This window comes from Homo sapiens, chromosome 2, assembly GCF_000001405.40.
Source record: "Homo sapiens chromosome 2, GRCh38.p14 Primary Assembly".
Taxonomy (NCBI): domain Eukaryota; kingdom Metazoa; phylum Chordata; class Mammalia; order Primates; family Hominidae; genus Homo; species Homo sapiens.
This window is the reverse complement of record NC_000002.12, coordinates 217282260-217301134: the sequence shown is the minus strand read 5'-3', so window position 1 is coordinate 217301134 and position 18875 is coordinate 217282260. Positions and strand designations below refer to the sequence as shown.

Genomic DNA, 18875 nt, shown 5'->3' with positions numbered 1-18875 from the left:
TTGAGCCATCTTTCCTTCAGCAGTTCCAATTTTTTCCAGTTGCCTTTTTCCTTAGCCATCAGGACCATCTGCCCTTGGGCATGTGGGTCTAAATTGATCATCTTGTTAAATATCCAGAGACTCACACTCACACCTACACACGAGTGAAGTCACATGATCATCACCCACACTCCCCCATAGGCCAAAACACATTTGTGTACTTCCTGGCCTTGCCCCCTAAATAAATTTCTGGTCGTTGAAATTTAGAAAGAACCAAGAAAACTAATGCAGCCTTTCTTGACGTATGAATGCTTAAATTCAAGCCCCATCTTTTTTTTTTTTCTTTTTTTTTTTTGAGACAGAATTTCACTTTTTTGTTGCCCAGGCTGGAGTGCAATGGTGCGATCTTGACTCACCGCAACCTCCACCTCCCAGGTTCAACAATTCTCCTGCCTCAGCCTCCTGAGTAGCTGAGATTACAGGCATATGCCACCATGCCTGGCTAAGTTTTTGTGTTTTTAGTAGAGACGGGTTTTCTCCATGTTGTTTAGGCTGGTCTTGAACTCCCGACCTCATGTGATCCACCCGCCTCAGGCTCTCAAATTGCTGGGATTATAGGCATGAGCCACCACCGCGCTCGGCATTCAAAGCCCCATCTTCACCCAACTTTATCATTATTACTATTATCTTGTAAACTCATTACAGTGTTGTAATGAGTTTACATCTTGTAAGCTCATTTTGGCATTTCAGATTTTATTTTTCAAGAATTTCAGAGGAATCCATTTATAGAATGAAATCACGTGGCAGAGATTAGAAAGACGTGTAGAAGTACCACTCTCTGGATTATCATTGCTATTATTTATGGTTATCAGTGATGACAAATATAAAGATTGTGGACAAACAAGAGGAGTGGTAGAAAGAATATTAGACTTAGATTCAGAAGTCCTGGTCCAAACCCTTATTACTAGCTCTGTGGCCTCAAAGAGATAGTGTAACCTCTTAGAATTTCAATTACCTCTTTGGTAAAACAGGAATAACAGAATGTACCTAAAGGCTATAAGGTTTAAAAGAAATAATAGAGGTAAATATATATGGCATATATAGATACTCAGTAACATTTGAATGAACTTTGATTAATCCGTGCTTGTCCAGAGTTCATTAATCTGGAGGTTTTGAAAGCCTAACTAATCATATTTTCCTTCTTGGTGCTGTTTGATAACTATTGTTCAGAATGACATCTGTGAGGCATTGCAAGATTTTGGTGTGTTCCCTGAATAACCAAATAAAGACAAAACCATATGGTTTTTATGTTACGGGGATTACTGAGTTTCAATAAATTAGCATACAATAAAATAATTTTCATGTGATGCAATGCTCAGATTTCAGATAACAAATGCAGCCATTGAAACCAGAATAATCCAGTCTTACTGACACAATCATTTCCATGTAAGGAGCCACACCTGACAAACTCAGAAAAACAGCTCCTTTGTGACTTTTTGTGGAACTCTAGTGTTGAGGAGCTGCCAGGGGGAAAAGAAATGCCCTTTTCAGTCCTATTTAATTCCTTAGGCTCATATTCATCAAGATTCTGAACATTTTTAGAAGGGGTAGGCTTCTTCCCTCACATTCTCTACCCTAGTCATTTTACTACCTAGAGGCTATTGAATGAGACATGACACAATTGTTTAGTTTTCTCTGAGACAGAAACTGGGCTTTTCGTTGAGTTTAACACCCAACAATGTTTGTAGCCTTCATTCTCCAGCCTCTCATTTAAAGTCATAATTAAAGGAATGTCTTGAGAGGATTTTGTCCCTGGCTGCAGAGGTTTCCGACCAGACAGCCAGTGAGGCACTCAGTGGCTTCATCCTTACTCTCAAGTCTTCCTAGACACGGAGGGAGAGAGAAAATGCTTTTCTCACTGCAGTTTTTCATTTTGGGGGACTGATATGGACATACCTTCCTTTAATAAACATGCATTGAGTCTAATTTCCCAGAAGATAGCACGATTTACCTAAAAGTTTTGAATTCTTAATCAATTCCTCTTTTTATAAAACATTATAATATATTAGATTAAATTTTAAAGCAATACAAACTAGATATAATCAGGCATCTCAGAACTTTTACATATTTACTAAATCTGACTTAGATCAATATCATTTTCCTGGACTTGAATAGTTATAGTTCACCTCCCAACTTTGTAATTCTAGATCAGCTAAGTCAAATATGATAGAACTTAGACCTTCTAAGGTTGGGACTCAACAATATCATTCCTTGTAGTTCTTGTAGCTAAAAATAAACAACTTGCAAATCCATACTGTGTTATCTAGTCTGACAATCTTAATCTTTTACTTGGAGAATATAGCCAACATTTAATGTAATTACTAATATAATCATGTATCACATTGCAATCATGTATATATCTGACCTTCTATTATTTGTTTGCTCTTTGGCTCACCTGTTTTCCTCTATCTTTTTTTAATCCTTTTTTGACTTATAATGGATTAATAACATTTTTATTATTCCATTTTTTCTTCTATGAATATTTTTTAAACTATATTTTAGTGATTATCAGGGAGATTATGACATGTAGCCTTGATTTATTATGGTCAAAACAGACTATCACTTTTACCACTTTCTCCACAGTGCTAGAACCTTTTAATTCTACTTACTTCCCTTTGCAATGCATTACATTTATCATCAGTTTTAGTTTTACATATATAGTTGAACCTTGGACAATGCAGGGACTAGAGACACTGATACCTTGTACAGCCAAAAATCTGCATATGATTTTTGACTTCCCAGAAACTTAACTACTAATAGCTCATTGTTGACTGGAAGCATTACCAACAATATAAACAGTTCATTAACACATATTTTGTATGCTATGTGTTATATACTGTGTTATTCCAATAGAGTAAGCTAGGGAAAAGGAAATGTTATTAAGAAAATTCTGGCCAGGCACAGTGGCTCATGCCTGTAATCCCAGCACTTTGGTAGGCTGAGGCGGGTGGATCACGAGGTCAGGAGATTGAGACCATCCTGGCTAACATGGTGAAACCCCATGTCTACTAAAAATACAAAAAATTAGCCGGGCACAGTGGTGGGTGCCTGTAGTCCCAGCTACTCGGGAGGCTGAGGCAGGAGAATGGCATGAACCCAGGAGGTGGAGCTTGCAGTGAGCCGAGATCGCGCCACTGCACTCCAGCCTGGGCAACAGAGCGAAACTCTGTCTCAAAAAAAAAAAAAAAAAAATCTAAGGAAAAGAAAAGATATTTACTATTCATTAAGTGGAAGTGGATCATCATGAAGTTCTTCATCCTCATCACCTTTGCATTGAATAGGCTAAGGAAGAGGAGGAAGAGAAAGGGTTGGTCTTGCTGTCTCTAGAGTGGCAGAGGCAGAAGAAAATCCATGTATAAGTGAATTTTCATAGTTCAAACCTGTGTTGTTTAAGGGTCAACTGTATTTGAAATGACAAAATATTGCAATTATTGTTTTGAAGAATCAATATTAATTTATATTTGCCCACATAGTTATCTTTTCCAGTGTTTTTTATTCTTTCCTGCATTTTCATGTTCTCTTCTGGAATGATTTTTTTTTTTTCTAAAGAACGTTTTTTGGTCTTTCCTGTAGAGCATGCTTGGTCATGACAAATTCTACTATTTCTTTTCCTGAAAAATATTTTTCTTTCAGTTTAAAGTGTCTTTTCCCTGGGTATAGAATTATGTTTGGTATTTCCTTCTTTCAGTACTTTAACTATGTCCTCTGTCTCCTTGTTCCATTTTCTCCTGGCTTCCATCATTTCTATTGAGAAGTCAGTTATAATTCTTATTGTTGCTGTTTTGAGAATACTTGTCTTTTTTTCTCTGGATGCTATTGAGACGCTCTCTCTGCTCCTGTTTTTTCAGCTGTTTGGCCATCATGTGCTTGGATACGCTTTGGTTTGTATTTATCTTGCTTGAGTTTCATTAAGCTTTGTAAATCTATGTGATCATCACCAGCTTTTGAAAATTCTTAGTCATTATGTCTTCCAATATTGCTTCTAGGCCATTTCCTCTTTCTGCTTTTTCTAAAATGCCAATCATATATACATTAGGCTTTTTGACATGTTCTGCATGCCTCTTACAGCTTTTTGTTCCTTTTTACTTTCTTCCCCTCTCTGTACCTCAGTTTGGAGACAGCAAAATACTTGGATCAAAAACACCTTAACTGTTGCTAAGTCCATTTAATGAGTTCCTAATTTCAAACATTGTACATTTTCTTTCCAGAATATATGTTTAATGCTGTTTTTAAAAATATTCAAATTGCTAACTAAATTTATCCATACTTTAATCTCTTCTGTCCACTTTTTCCTTTGTTTTCTTGAAAATATTAATTGTACTTACTTTAGAATCCTGATCTTCTAACTCCAATATCTGAATTATTTCTGGGTCTGCCTCTATTGTAGAATGTACATTGCTTATAAAAGAACCACAGATGCTCCCGACGAGATGAACTTCTATACCAAGAGTGGTCCCCTTTGTTCTGTTAGGCAGAAAGGGAAAGGGTCAGTCATTAATTACTTCAATATAATCAGGAATTGAACTAAACCTGGCCTGGGTTTCAGTTGTAAAACCCAGTTCTACCATAAAAATAAGGGTTGGGTAAAACTATCTGAAAAATTATAGAATACTTTTGAAGGTTCTAAACTAGATTGCATGAGGGCTCTCTTATTTTTAGCTTATAAAACCATCCTTAGGTGAACAAGTTACAGATGCTGATGCAATAAAGAAAAGAAGGTAACATGATTGTATACATTGATAACATGATTTCATTCCTTTGATTTTCTTCTGTTTGCCAGGTATGGCTCTTAAGTGTGTGATTGAGAGCATTAGTCCTGAAAATGGTGGGAGATTCAGTCCTTACCTTCACAGACTTTCAGTTTAGCTCTTTAGCCTTACTTTCCACGCAAATTCTAAATTTGGGAAATGTCTTGAGGTAGAACCCTGCTCTTATGGGTTTTTCTTAGCACCATGTGTAAAATTTTATGCTTTAAAGATTTCTATCTAGTTCGTTCGGCTTTCTTACACACCCAAAACTAGGTAAGTGTCCCATATGGCCATGCCTTTGAAGTCTTGTAAGTTTTCTAATGGGTAACTTTAAGTCTGTGTGACTGCCAAAAGCTTTACCTGTTTCTCTTTACTTCTGCAGGTGCCCTATGTCTTAGATAAGGCAATTTTCATCCCACATCTAAAATTGTCAAATGCTCCCAACTGGAAAAAAAAAAATGACATGTTCATCAGATCACCTTGAAATGGTTTTCTTTCTATAGCTTTAATTTTTCCAGTTCTCATTGCCTCCAAAGATCTCTGATTCTTCAAAATTGTGACTTTTTTGAGTAATTTGTATGGGCTTGTCTGACTGTGGCTGTGGGAACAATAATCTATTACATCCTACCCAAAAGGTGAAACCATAATTTTTTGAAAAATGTTCTGATTGGTTGACTCTGGTCAGTATACATTTTTTTTTTTTTTTTTTTTTTTTTTTTAGATAGAGTCTCTCTCGCTCTGTCACCCAGGCTGGAGTGCAGTGGTGCAGTCTTGGCTCACTGCAACCTCCACCTCCCAGGATCAAGCAATTCTCTGGCCTCAGCCTCCCCGGTAGCTGGGACTACAGGCATGCGTCACTAAGCCTGGCTGATTTTTGTATTTTTTTGGTAGAGACAGGGTTTTGCCATGTTGGTGAGGCTGGTCTCGAACTCCTGGCCTCAAGTGATCCACCTGTCTCAACCTCCCAAAGTGCTGGAAATACAAGGGTGAGCCGTCACGCCCAGCCAATAATTCTTACTATAATTAAACATTCATATGTTGACTTTAACATACATATGTTGACTTCCAACTCTTTTGGACTTTTAATCTATATTAGACCTGTAACAGATACCGTATATGGGGTAAACTATATAACATAAACTCTTATGTAGTGTTTTTCCATATTGAGTCTGCATCCCTGCACCTTGATACTTCAGAAAAATGAGCGTTGAGTAAAACTATCTGACAAATTATAGAATACTTTTGAGATTGTATTCTGGTCTGTCTTATTTTTAGCTTATAACTTTACTAAGTAAAACCATCCTTAGATGAACACGTTGCAGATGATGCAATAAAGAAAAGAAGGTATACATTGCTACATTGTATACATTGATAATATTGTTTAATTTTTACAAATCAGAGGTGACCTCAACAGTTAGATCTAGCCCTCAGTTAATATGGAAAACAAGTTCAAAACCGAAATGATCATAATTGGCTACAAGTTCCAAGTTTCCACTCGCTTCTGTCAACTTACTTTCAAGTGAAGAGTAAATTAGTTAATTTTGAGATTTGAGGGAGTATATTTTGGCACTATTTCAACCTGATAGATTCCCTAGGAACTGGGACACCCCGCATCGATCATTAAACAGTAGTATTATTAAAGCTTTCATTATGTTTTTTCTTTTAGCAGACAGGTTGAGCAACTGGTTGGAATATTTTTCAATTCTAAATAATCTTGTGCAAAAGCTTCCTAAGAAGCACTTGGTAAATCAGTTGAGACCTTTTCTGTGCTGGAATCTGTCCCAAAGTCCCTAGTATAGAAACCTCTGGTTTGCAGATGGCAGGCAAAAGACCTGGGGGAAGCTACTCAACTTTATCTTTCTATCAGGATTTGGAGCTTATACGTCTGCTCTCAAAAACTTTTGCAAACACCAACTATTCACCAATGAATGCAACTTTGAACTGTTTGCTATTCAAAATCTAACAAAAGCTTGGCTGACAAGGGAGATTCTAAATTCTATGTTTCGTTCAAGTTTGCTTAGCTGAAAGAATGGGCATTCTGAAGCTGTCTTTTTTATTTGTTTACTTAATAATAATTGTGTCACTTTTGCTTTGTAATGCCAAGAAACCCAGGAGTAAATTTGAACTCTTTTATTATATTTATACATCAGTTTTCTTCTTTGTCATGGTCTAGATTTTCTACTTTTCTATTTGTCTTTGTTCTTATTTGGTCTTTATTTTATTGTTTGTTTATATTTGTGCTGTAAGCTACCTCAAGTTCTTCTGAGCATCAGATAGCATATAAATACATACATAAGCTAAATGTAAATTTTCTTGAATCTATGGTGTCTCTGTATCTCTGTGATCCCAGTATGTTTTGAATGTTATTCCAATGGTACAAGTATCTATTTATCCTAATCTGAACTCTAGTAAAAAATGCCTGAAAATTCCCCTCTGAATGATCAAGAAGAGGTTCTACAATTTTGTGAGCTTCTAGCTCTCCTAATTCTTCTTTCTCTATTTCTGCCAGAATTAGTTGTTATGGGAACTGTGGTTTGGGGTTGTTTATAACTACAGCATACTTGGCCTAATCCTATTTAATACAGCGACCAAATTTATACAAATCAAATCTGTGGCCATGATAGATCTGGTGAACTGAAACAGAGATTCGGGGTTATCATGATTAGGGGATTAATTACAAATAGGGCTCAATTTGCAGGAAGATCTCTTTCAATAGCCGCAGAAGGGGAATGGGAAATAAAGGTAATAGTCTAGAATCTGTTAGATGCTAATCTCCTAAGAATCTAAAAGATGAGATTGACCAGATATAGGAGAGGATTTCAGCAGAAATTAAAGATGCTTTTGATGTGAAGCATCTTCCATAATGAAATCTGGACCATAAGGAGTGATCCTTGGAAACCAGATGCCAAGTTTACCCGGAATAAACATAAGGACAAACTTCCCATTTCTGTGCAAGAACCAACAGCAGTGTAAGGAAGAGAGAACCACAGTGGCCTCGCAGAGGATCAGGGGAGGCACCTGCAGCAGCAGATACGGGGAAACTCCTCCCTTGAAAGACTTGTGGGCAACACTTTGCCATGAGGAGACTGAAGCAGAAAGGGACTGGTTTCTGAGCACAAGTGAAACACCACCTATGTCTCACAGGATACTACGTGGGATTGCTCTGAGAAGAGGCTGCGCTGTAGCATCAGCAGCAGGTGTGAAGTCAGTCAGAGTGATGTTACTAATGTCATTGGTAAAGATTAGGTTGAAGGCATCTTCTTTCCTTCCAGGGTTTTTGCCAATCAAATATACACAGAAATACTTGAGTCAAATGGGATGAAAACACCAGCTTTGTTATCCAGATGATAAATCTTCCTGGAAAACTGATTTGGGGACATACATCAAATGGGAGGTCAAAATTGGGATTCCTAATTACTTACCCTTAGAACTGAACTAATTGGCCCCCAGTATGACATGTCTACCCCACTTTCTTACCCAGACACTGGTGGAAAAGCAAAAACAGAAAGAGGGAGGATTTCCTGGCTTGTTCACTTAACATGTAGACACTGTCAGAGTAAAGTGAGTCCTCCACAAATCAGGAAAGCACACTAGAGAATGAATGTTTTGCTTTTGAGGCAAAGTAATCTTACTTAGTAGCACAGACAATACTGTCTAATGGTAACCAGGCCCACCCTCACCAATTAGATACACACTGTATCTATTTTTTTTTTTTTTTTGGACAGCTAGTAAGGAGCAGAAAGAAGGTGTTAACAGGTGACAAGAGTTCATTTCTCTATGGGCCAAGGCAGTCACTTGGTTAGAAAAAGAGAAAGCTTCCTTTGTATATGAGCCATTGGCTGGTGGGCCCTCATAACATCTGGCATATAATTAGAGAAAGGCAAATCTTTTACACAAAGTATTTACAGGCCATGTCTATGGGGACAGTGGCTGTAGGGTATTTACTAAGTCAAGAGGGCAGTAGCTAGCCTAACCATGAGCAATTGCACAAGGGTGCTGATACGGACAGGAGACCGAAATACTGGGTAGAAGAGGGTGGTTCCCGGCAAAGGCCCCACCCTCAAGCCTGAAGACCGTGGCACTAAATGAGGACAGGCATTCCTGTTTTCGTGCCCAAAAAGTTGGCTTTTGGCCTGCCATGTCCCCTATTATGCACCCATATAAACCCCGAAGCCCGGGCTCCAGAAGCAGACCAGCAAACCAGCAGACCAGCAGGTGGACAGCCAAACGATGCGGCAGAGAAAGAAGGAAGAGGAGGAACATCTGAACACCGAGAGGAGTTCAGCTGGGGGTGGTTGGAGAGGAGTCCAGCCACTGGGCAGCCCAACTCCAGGGGAAGATCATCATCCCATTCCATCCCCAGCTTCTGGGTTCCCATCCATCTGACTGAAAGCCAGCTCCACCACTCTATAAAACCTCACATTCATCCTTCAAGACTGTGTGTGACCCAATTTTTCTGGGACACTGGGCAAGAGCTTGGGCTACAGAAAGCTGTCACACTGGCCTTCTGCCCTTGTAAAAAGGCAGAGGGTCCACTGAGCTGGTTAACACTCAAGCTCTCTGTGGACAGCAAAGCTGAAAGAGCTTTGTAACAGTGGGATTGCAGCACCCATCCCTAGACACTACCATGGGGCTGAAGCCCAAAGCACTCACCCCAGCCTCTGCACCTGCCTGCCTGCTCTCCCTCCCACAAGGGGTTTCAGCAGCAGGGCGACTGAACGGGTGGGCCACATCCTTGTCAAACATCTGGTGAGGGGCATCAGGGAACTTTCCCGTTTCAGTGCCACACATCTACCTGGTGTAATCAAAGCCAGAGTGGTCAACGTTGGAAAGTCTGACCTCTGCTTTTCACCTGTTGCCTTCCATCTATGTGCTGTCATTTTTTCGGACTGAGTCAGCCTTTGTGGTGGAACTCTCTGAGTTGTCAACACAGCCATCTCATGGAAGTGGCTCTCAAAGTCACCTGATGGGATTGTTAATGGAGGAAAGCCTTCTGAGGCCACCCTATAAGTGCAAAGCATGGAGCCATAAATAATCCTGGAAAACTGGTTTGGGGACATACATCAAGTGGCCAAAATTGGGATTCCTATTACTTACCCTTAGAAGTGAACCAATTGGCCCCCAGTGTGACATGTCTCCCCTGCTTTCCTACCCAGACACTTTCCTACCCAAAGCAAGCATGGGGATGGGGGCTACACGTACAATACAATAGGTTCTGGATATCTGTGGCAGATATATGGCAGGTTTAAAAAAAAATCACTCAATGTAAGTCAATGAAGTTACATTAAATTGTTTCCATAGCTCTTGTAATAAAGCCCTACTGAGAAGCAACCCCCTCCTCCCAGATTCGGTTCATATATAATAAATGAATACTGTGATACTGGGGTGCAGGAGAGAGCTGTATGGCTATTCAAATTCCTGTCCTAGAAACATTAAAAATTACCCTGTGTCTTTCAGGGTTTCTAGCAAATGGATGCAGCCAGGGATTACAGATCTATGAGTGATAAGAATGGTCTATCAAATCTCCTTATTGAAAGAAAATAAGGAGGCAGGGGGACAGTGGTGACATGACATGGGAGGGTCAGCACAAAGGGGCCCACAAAACAGATATCAATTCATTCCTCTTTCCAGTGCAATGACTGGATCCCAGAGACTATGTGGTTGGTATCAGGGGAGGTCTTGGAGCAGGGCCTCCTGGACAGGGCCAGGTAGATCATCCTCTTGCCTGTGTGAGGGCAGCTCTGAGCTCCACAAGGCAGATATTGCAATGGTGATCAAAGGGAAATGCTTTAGGTGTCTTTATGGCCAAAAATACATACTCCACAATACTTCTTTCTCTTAAGTCATTTACTATTATTGTGTGGACTCCTCACACAATGCCAATCACTTGTTAAAATTTAAACAATAATGATCATTTAGTTGTTTTGTCCACTTGAAACCCAAAGGTAAATCTGGCTAATGCTGCCTCAAAATGGGCCAGGCATTTATTCGGTCGTTGTTGTCTTTGGGATGGCTTTGTTTTCTGTTGATATTTGGTTTCCCTTAGTTTGGTTTGGTTTAGTTGGACCTGGTTTGATGCTGGTATTTGGGTTCACAAAGCCCATTGCTCTGCTGTCCACTCTTTCCACACGGAATCCTTCTGGCTGAGGCCTGTCTGAACTGCCAGTGCAGGCCCTGGAGCCCTGACTCTGTACCTCATAGAATCTGTCTTCTTTTCAGGAGAGCTAAGTGTTAACATTGTCCTGAACACATTTGCCTTTCAAGAAGATTAATGGAGTTCAGTGTGCAGCAGATAAGCTTGCCTGGGAGGAGCAGGCGAGAGCTAAGCTGTGTCAACACAGCCTAAGGGCAGGAGAGAACCAAATTGATTACTCAGATACTCTCCACCTCTCCCTCCTTCCCCCTTCCATTTTCAATTCTAATACAATTTGATGTCTGTGTATAAATGCCAAGATAGATGGGGAATAAGCTTATGAAATGGCTGCTTGAAGTGCTAATCCATAAGAAATGCTAAAATGCACCCAGAAATGCAGCAAAAAGGATAAAATTGGATTTCCCAGGAGGGCATTCCATGAAGTTGTCAAAGATTATGAGGACATGCCACACTGGGGGAAGGGCTGCAGGTGCAAACAGACAATGCGAGACCCCCAGGGGGCCTGTGAGAGGACTGATGACTGCTAAAATTCCTTTCTGAGGAGGGTGAATCTGTTGATGCTATCATTCATTTTCCAAAGAAAAAGTGCAGCAAATTATTTTGCAAGGAGGGAAGTAGAAAGCATCCAGCAAGGGTCACCGTCCTCCACCCTTTCCCCATGTAGCAGTGACTATCACCTTTCAATAAATTAGAAAATAAATATTTAAAGGAGAATACCAAAGTGCTATCCTGCTAAGGGCAGCTGTATTAAATTGCCTCCAGTGTCTTTTCAGCCTGGAGGCCTTCTTGCTTCTGTAGTGGGTGGGGACAGCTTTCAGACAGATCTGTTTTGACCTTTCCTATAACAACAGCCTCTGCAAAGTTATCATGGATTTAAAACTCCTCCTTACTTGGGATGCCTCCAGTTGGTGTCTCTCTGTTTAAATGACCTAGAGATAGCAGACTTCAGGGAGGTTTCTGGTTCTCTTGAATTTAATAAAAATAGAGATAGATAGCCACTTGCTAGCAGTGTGACCTTAAAGAAGTTACTGAACCTCCTGAGGCTCCATGTTCTCGTTCAGAAATGCATTATTATCTCAAGTTAACAAATGTAAATTATCTCAATTACCCATTTTTTCAGGATTGTCAAAGAATATTAGTAATGTCAAATTATTAAACAGATGTTAGCTACTGCGAATACTACTGCTACTACTAATGCTGATAATAATGAGAATAATAGTGGTGAATTTGCCAGCATTGTGGAACTTATCAAAATTGCACAGGACAATGAGCAATAGTCTTAGGCAGGGGTCCCCAGCCCCCAGACCACAGACTGGTAATGGTCTGTGGTGTGCTAGAAACTGGGCAGCACAGCAGGAGGTGAGCAGCAAACAAGCATCATCTGAATTTACAGCCACTCCCCATTACTTGCATTACTGCCTGAGCTCTGGCTCCTGTCAGATCAGTGATGGCATTAGATTTTCAAAGGAGCACAAACCCTATTGTGAACAGTGCATGTGAGGGATCCAGGTCACGTGATCCTTATGAGAATCTAATGCCTGATGATCTGTCATTGTCTCCCATGACCCCCAGATAAGACTACCTAGTTGCAGGAAAACACACTCAGGGCTCCTGCTGATTCTACATGATGATGAATTGTATCGTTATTTCATTATATATTACAATGTAATACTAGAAACAAAGTGCACAACAAATGCAATGTGCTCCAATCATCCTGAAACCATCCCCCACCCCACTGTGTGTGGAAAAAATTGTCTTCCGTGAAACTAGTCCCTGGTGCCAAAAAGGTTGGGGACCACTGGTCTAAGGTATACATTTCCATCAGAAAATGGTTTCAACCCATTCAGATTATAGTGTTTGGGGAAGAAAAAGACAAACAGATGAGAGACCTTGATGACATCGTAGAAGAGAAACTTTGTACAAGACGAATCTGCAGCTGAATAAAGTGTCTATCCCCTACATAGCCCCAGTGCATGAATGGTTGCTATGGACTGAATGTTCATGTCCCTCTCCAAATTCATGGAATTGGATTCCATGAATCCAATTATGTTGAAACTCTAATCCCCAATGTGATGACGGTATTTGTAGATGGGACCTTTAAGTGGTAACTCAGTCATGAAGATAGAGCCCTCATGATGGGATTCATGCCCTATTAAAAGAGACATGAGAGACCTTGCTTCCTCCCTCTGTTCTCTGCCATGTGAAGATACAAGAAGAAGATGGACATCTACAAAGCAGGAAGTGGGCCCTCAACAGACATTGGATTTACCAACACCTTGATCTTGGCCTTTTAGTCTCCAGAACTGTGAAATAAGCTACCCAGTCTATGGTAATTTGTTATAGTCACCTAGACTGACTAAGACAATGATTATGTGCTATAAAATGCCATGCAGTAAAATATTTTGGCTGGTCGTAGGGCCTGCAGCCCAGTTACCATGGCAGAGTCCCTCTCCTCAACTCTTCCTTTCCCACCCTCTGTGATAGATGAGTTTTCCTCTGGGGTTCAAGTGCTTCTGGCCGGTAAACATGGGTGACCCGCCTTCCCTTTTTATCCATGCAGCCATAGGTACAGGAAGAGATGGGCAGTATGAGTATTGCACACCCAGTGTCTAATAAACTAGGATGTTCCCAACTGATGATAAGCCATAGGACAGCAGAACAAGACTCCTGAGAAGGAACTCACTCCAAGGAAAGGGAAAGTCTGGATTTACAAACTAGACTGTACATCACCATGAGAAAGAAGTAATGAAAACAGTGTGCTGCCTGAGCTAAAACTTGCCTGGATCCAAATGGGCATGTATGTCCTGTGAGCAAAGCGTTATCATTATTTCAAAATAAATGCCATGACCCTTCAACATTCAAGTGACACACAGAGGAGCTTCTCACTACACATAGGTCATGAGAGGGGCCTCTGGCTTTGCCAAATCAGGTTCGTCATTTGAAATAGCAGATCCATTAGGAAACCCTGGCAGATCATGTGGTGACAACCAGACTTCTCTTTCTGGGTCTCATCTTGAGGGGAGCATCTGGGCTCCTTTCTTGCTTATAGAAGATTGGCCAAGATTTATTCACAGCCACAGAATATTCTCTGCAATAGCAGGTCAAAGGAACCACAGAAAGGGCCTGGAATTCCAACTATTAAAGATGTGGTTTCAGAGCATTTTAGTTTGGGGCGTAAATACATGTGCAATCTAAATAATAATTAATACTTGCCATTTGAAAAACTCTGCAACACAGGGTGATCTAATGCCCCAGTCTTCTCAGGACTGAGGGTTTCCTGGAATGCAAAACTTTCCATCTTAAAAGTGATAATAAAATATAACTGCAACATAACATATATATAATGTGTGTGCGTGTGTGTGTGTGTAAAACATAGGTAGAGATACGACAATAAAAGTATATAGGTGGAGATACATACATACATAGGTAGAGACAGGACAATAAAAGTCACCAGGTGACCAGACCGTAGGTAACCAGGTAATCAGACCATATATGAAACTGTACAAAACTCATGCCAGTTTGGAAAGCTTCATCTCACTCTGTCACTTGTCATGTGTTGGACCTTATATGTGTTGAGAAAGTACCCACCCATGTTCTCAGGTAGGGTAGTCCAGCGGGTTAACTGCACAAGGAGATGTACTTCTTGTGAGCCAACTTTGAGAAAGATGGATTGCAAATAACAAAGAATAGGACCCATTGTGCAGTGTCCAGCACCTGGACTCGTCCTCCCTGCCTGCACGCTACACCTTTTCTTCTTCTAGCCGGGATAGGGCAGAGTGGATTCTGTCCAAAAAGGAGAAAGCAGAGCCCCCAAGAGTAACAGTTCTCCATTCAGAGAAATAAATGTTTCTTAAAATTTTCTACACTGCCCCATTCAGAAGCTTTCCAAGGGGTGGGCTGATTCTCGCCCTTGTGGAAACAATCACTATGAAGGTTTAAGCGCAGGACTTAAAAAAAAAATCCCATTTCCAAATTGAATAGTTTGTCTTATAGGAGGGATTTTGTTTTCTTTTCATGCTGGACCTAAATTTGGCATCCTATGGAAGTTTTATTGCATGGCATTAACCAAGAACTCAGCCAAATCTCCCGAGTCAGGAATGGCAGCTGGGAAAAGTTGAATGAATGAGCTATTTTTTTCCTTCTTTCCTTCCCTTCACTCCATATGTTTTTCAATTTCTGGCTCATAAATTTAATTAAATAAATATTTTAAAATATGAAAGATGGAGAATGTGAGAACTTGATAAATATGAAACGAGCTTCTAAATCTATGAACACGGCATTTGTGGGGCTAGGCTCTATGTTTAGGTAAAGAGGTATTACGAAGCCTTTATAGGGAAGATGAATTAAGACTTGTCTAAAAGTGAAGAAGGATTTTGGTATCTAAACATGGGGAATGGGGAAGCCATGGGAATGTGGATAGCCCTGGGAGATAAGACTCTTATTATAAGCTCACAAGTGCATTTGTGGAAATGAAGATATTTCTGTCATCTATTTGTTGGATTAGCTTCACAGGAAGGCGGAGTGAGCAAACATGCATTGAATATTTACTTGGTGTTCCAGAGAGACATGTGTTGGCTCCAGCAGCAGCACCAGAGCACCAAAAATGAGGCTTTAGCTTATTTTGGAGATGGCTAAAACAAAGATTCAGGGCATGTCTCAAAGCGATGTTGAAGAGGGGAAATAAGGCTGGTGCTAAAGAAAAACTAACCTGATGCTAAAGAAAGAACTAACTAACTCATGTATTCTTTGACAAGATGTGCTCGGGCCAAAGAATAAAATTCTAAACAATCATTGGTTCTGTGGAGGGAGGCTTGCTTTTCATAGAGGCACAGGATAGCAATTCTGAAACTATTCTGTGTGAATTCTAGTATTGAGCAAATAAGTAAATATATTATAGAAGATGGCAGCCAGTGTTCACCTTATAAGAGAAGGTAGTTACAAACATGGTGAGGGGAAATGTTAGCAACACTTCAGTGGTGTTGGATTGGAATTGGAGCTTTCAGTGAGAACTCATGGCATATACTATCTAGATAGCTACAAAAAGAGATCGACCTATGTGGATATAAATATTGAGATGTATGTGGATGCAGGTGTGTGTGTGTGTGTGTGTGTGTGTGTGTGTACATAAATCTATTTCCTAGCTGTGTATTCTTAGAGGGCCTAAAACCAAGGAATTGCAGTGCAGCGAGACCACCTGGCTTCCCGATCTTGGTTTTTAAATACTATTCTCTACTAAAAGGAATTAGGGCTCTTTGAAAAAAAAATGACTGATTCTGTAGCTAAGGGAGAGAAAGTAAAAGATGAACCTGAAATATATTTTTTTTTTTCAGAAATTAAGAATGTTCCCAAAGAATGATGGAGACATTTCAAAAGGATACGGAAGCCAGATTGTGGGCGCTTCTACTGGCCAACTCTGGGACATCGTGGACATCAAAATAAATTTGTAATAATAAAGGATTATAGCCTATTAGTTAAATCAGAAAAATCTGATTTAACTAAATGAGTAGGAGGAAAAGAAAGCTCTTCCTTATATTAGAAAGTCAATTAATAAATGCAGAAAGGAATGAAAAAATTAGAAAAGCCACCATTTGGCAACCATGGCAGGCAGAATGGGGAGTATGCCTCCAGACAGTAATTCCTTTCAAACTGGTTTATAGGAACTCACTGAGCTTGCTGATCGACCTCTGAGAGGCAAAGTTTCTGAATTATGAAGTACTGATTATATAAACTTAGACAGAGACATGCTTCATTATTTAATAGGACTGTGTCAAAAGCCTACTATTAGGATGATGTGTTGGGTGTGGAACAGGGTCTCTTCCTGCCAGGAACACTGGTGATTTCACTCCGTGTTCAGGCTGATCTTTGAAGTTGAAGACAAGCAGAAGAATCCTTCTAAAATTTAGCCATGCCCATAGGCTGGGAGGGACACTGCTCCATTCAGAGGCAGCAAAGCACATTACTGTATCTCCTATAGAGCTTTGAGCAGTCCAGTGTACATGGAGAAACTTAGTAAATGTTGTTGAATTAGTGAATGAACAAATCAATGGACCAAGTCAGGGGTAAGTCTTACATTTGTCATCTAGGTGATTAAGAAAGGAAAAAGTATCTGTTTCAAGAGGATTACAATCTAACTGTACTCCAATAGTAAAATTTACTCTTTTGGAATCTGAAGACATTCATGAGTCTTTGCATCTTATTTCCTGAATTCTAACTTCCCTTGCCTTTATGAATGACAAAGAAGATGCATACAACCTTTGTAAATGCTTGCTGAATTTGAACATTATGTTGCTTTGTGATTGCCTCCACTTGGGATTCCAAATGACATCATGTGGATTCACTGGAGGCCTCGGGTAGCTGGGGAACTGAGGGGATAAGATGCACACATGGTACACAAGCACACGTACACCAACAACGTAAATAGACACGTAACTAGAAACAGCTGTGCAGAGCCATTTAGTAAAAGGTTGAGTAGCTGGAACCATCAGGAGTGCGTGGGAATGAGTTCAAGCTCCCCCCATGAGGCCTTCCTAAGGCTTTGCAGGAGGGCAAGAACAAGGTCTGGGAAGTGGGGAAATGGGATGGCTCAGTCTGTCCTTAGCATCTCGATCCTGGCTGACTCTCCACCACTCCTCACCCTTGCAAGATTACACACTTTGATTTATGTGACATTTAGGCAGAAAGCAGCCTAGAGCACTCTGGGGGTATTAACCCAGAAGACATACAAATCAGATTGGACCAAAGGGGAAAGAAGCCTCAGACATCCGCAGGGGAATAAGAAGGATATTGTATGCTACTTGACCTGATCTCTTTCCTACTCAGGAAAGTCAGTAGATAAATAATAAAATTGATAGTGCATGGAGAGTTGAGAGGCAAGACTTGCAGCATTGAAGTCTGAATTTCTGTCCTGAATATGATATTTGTACTCCCCCCAACTCCCTGGTCTCCAAAGGAATCTGGTCTGTCACTAAACAGCATCTTCTCAATCTCCTCCATGTCATAAAGTGGGAGAGTGGGGGTAGTGGAAAAGGCATGTCTTTATTTTGAAGATGAGAAATTTACATTCTTTTTCGTTAAAATAATCATTTCTAAGGGGTAATATATTGTAGGATCAGAGATTTCTAGGACTGGAAGGATCTTTTAGAAACCGTAGAACCTAAGCCCCTTATTATACAGAGGAGAAATCTGAAACATGGAAAAAGAGAATTTGCCTGATGTCTCAGAAAGACTAAGCAGCATTGGCTCTATGAACAAGAGCTAAAAATCCCAATTCCAATACTACAAAGATGAAATGGTACACAAAACTTTACAATCTACACAACTGAATCATCTTTCTTTCTCATTACACTTTGGTTGTCATCCAAAAATATATAGCTTGATCACTCACCTTAGTCATCTGAAACACCTGAGCCAAATCCAATTCCCGTGCAGCTGCCACGCAAGGTTATGCCTCTGTCCAGTGGCCTCTGTGTTGCCAAGACTCTGTGGATTTGACAACAGGAATTTAGGTGGAGTTTTGAACAATGGTGTCATGGTTGGAACAGGCATGCAATTCCTAAAATTTATGAGTTGTGATTGTGTGTGATAGTGGTTTAAGTTTGGAGTTTGAATATTGGCTCTTCCACTTTATAGCAGAGTGAATTTGGACCAGATGCTTACAGCCTACCTCATGAGATTAAATGAGATAATATGTGTAAAGCATTGAGTATAGCATCTGCATTAAAATAACCACCATTTGTGTAAAATGTATTAATACCATCTTATCACTTCTGTTTCTAGAATAAGTCTAAGCCAATATTTTTGTAAGTTTGTTTTGTTTTGTTTTGTTTGACATGGAGTCTCACTCTGTTGCCAGGCTGGAGTGCAGTGGTGCAAACTCAGCTCACTGCAACCTCCGACTCCGAGGTTCAAGTGATTCTCCTGCCTCAGCCTCCCGA

The 18875-nt window shown here is 40.2% G+C and overlaps 2 long non-coding RNA genes across 13 annotated transcripts in view, besides 2 other annotated features; one reads left to right on the top strand and one right to left on the bottom strand.

Annotated features, from left to right (window-relative positions):
* The window catches only part of DIRC3 (disrupted in renal carcinoma 3), a 506425-nt gene extending 489309 nt beyond the window's left edge, over window positions 1-17116 (top strand). For all 12 annotated transcript variants that reach the window (NR_186298.1, NR_186301.1, NR_186296.1 and 9 more), the window contains one exon: window positions 16272-17116. This is a non-coding gene — a long non-coding RNA (disrupted in renal carcinoma 3). The remainder of the gene's footprint in view (window positions 1-16271) is intronic.
* Window positions 1-18402, bottom strand: part of DIRC3-AS1 (DIRC3 antisense RNA 1) — a 61472-nt gene extending 43070 nt beyond the window's left edge. Inside the window, exons 1-3 of the long non-coding RNA NR_133642.1 lie at window positions 18326-18402; window positions 5148-5231; window positions 4365-4503 (exon numbers count right to left, since the gene is read on the bottom strand). This is a non-coding gene — a long non-coding RNA (DIRC3 antisense RNA 1). The remainder of the gene's footprint in view (window positions 1-4364; window positions 4504-5147; window positions 5232-18325) is intronic.
* Window positions 8719-9219: an enhancer, noted in NCBI's record as "H3K27ac hESC enhancer chr2:218156639-218157139 (GRCh37/hg19 assembly coordinates)". NCBI's record gives its function as "activates a minimal SCP1, AML or CMV promoter by ChIP-STARR-seq in primed H9 embryonic stem cells {active_cell/tissue: H9 hESC(primed)}" and the evidence as "EXISTENCE:reporter gene assay evidence [ECO:0000049][PMID:30033119]".
* Window positions 9220-9720: an enhancer, noted in NCBI's record as "H3K27ac hESC enhancer chr2:218156138-218156638 (GRCh37/hg19 assembly coordinates)". NCBI's record gives its function as "activates a minimal SCP1, AML or CMV promoter by ChIP-STARR-seq in primed H9 embryonic stem cells {active_cell/tissue: H9 hESC(primed)}" and the evidence as "EXISTENCE:reporter gene assay evidence [ECO:0000049][PMID:30033119]".
* Window positions 18403-18875: the final 473 nt, after the last annotated feature.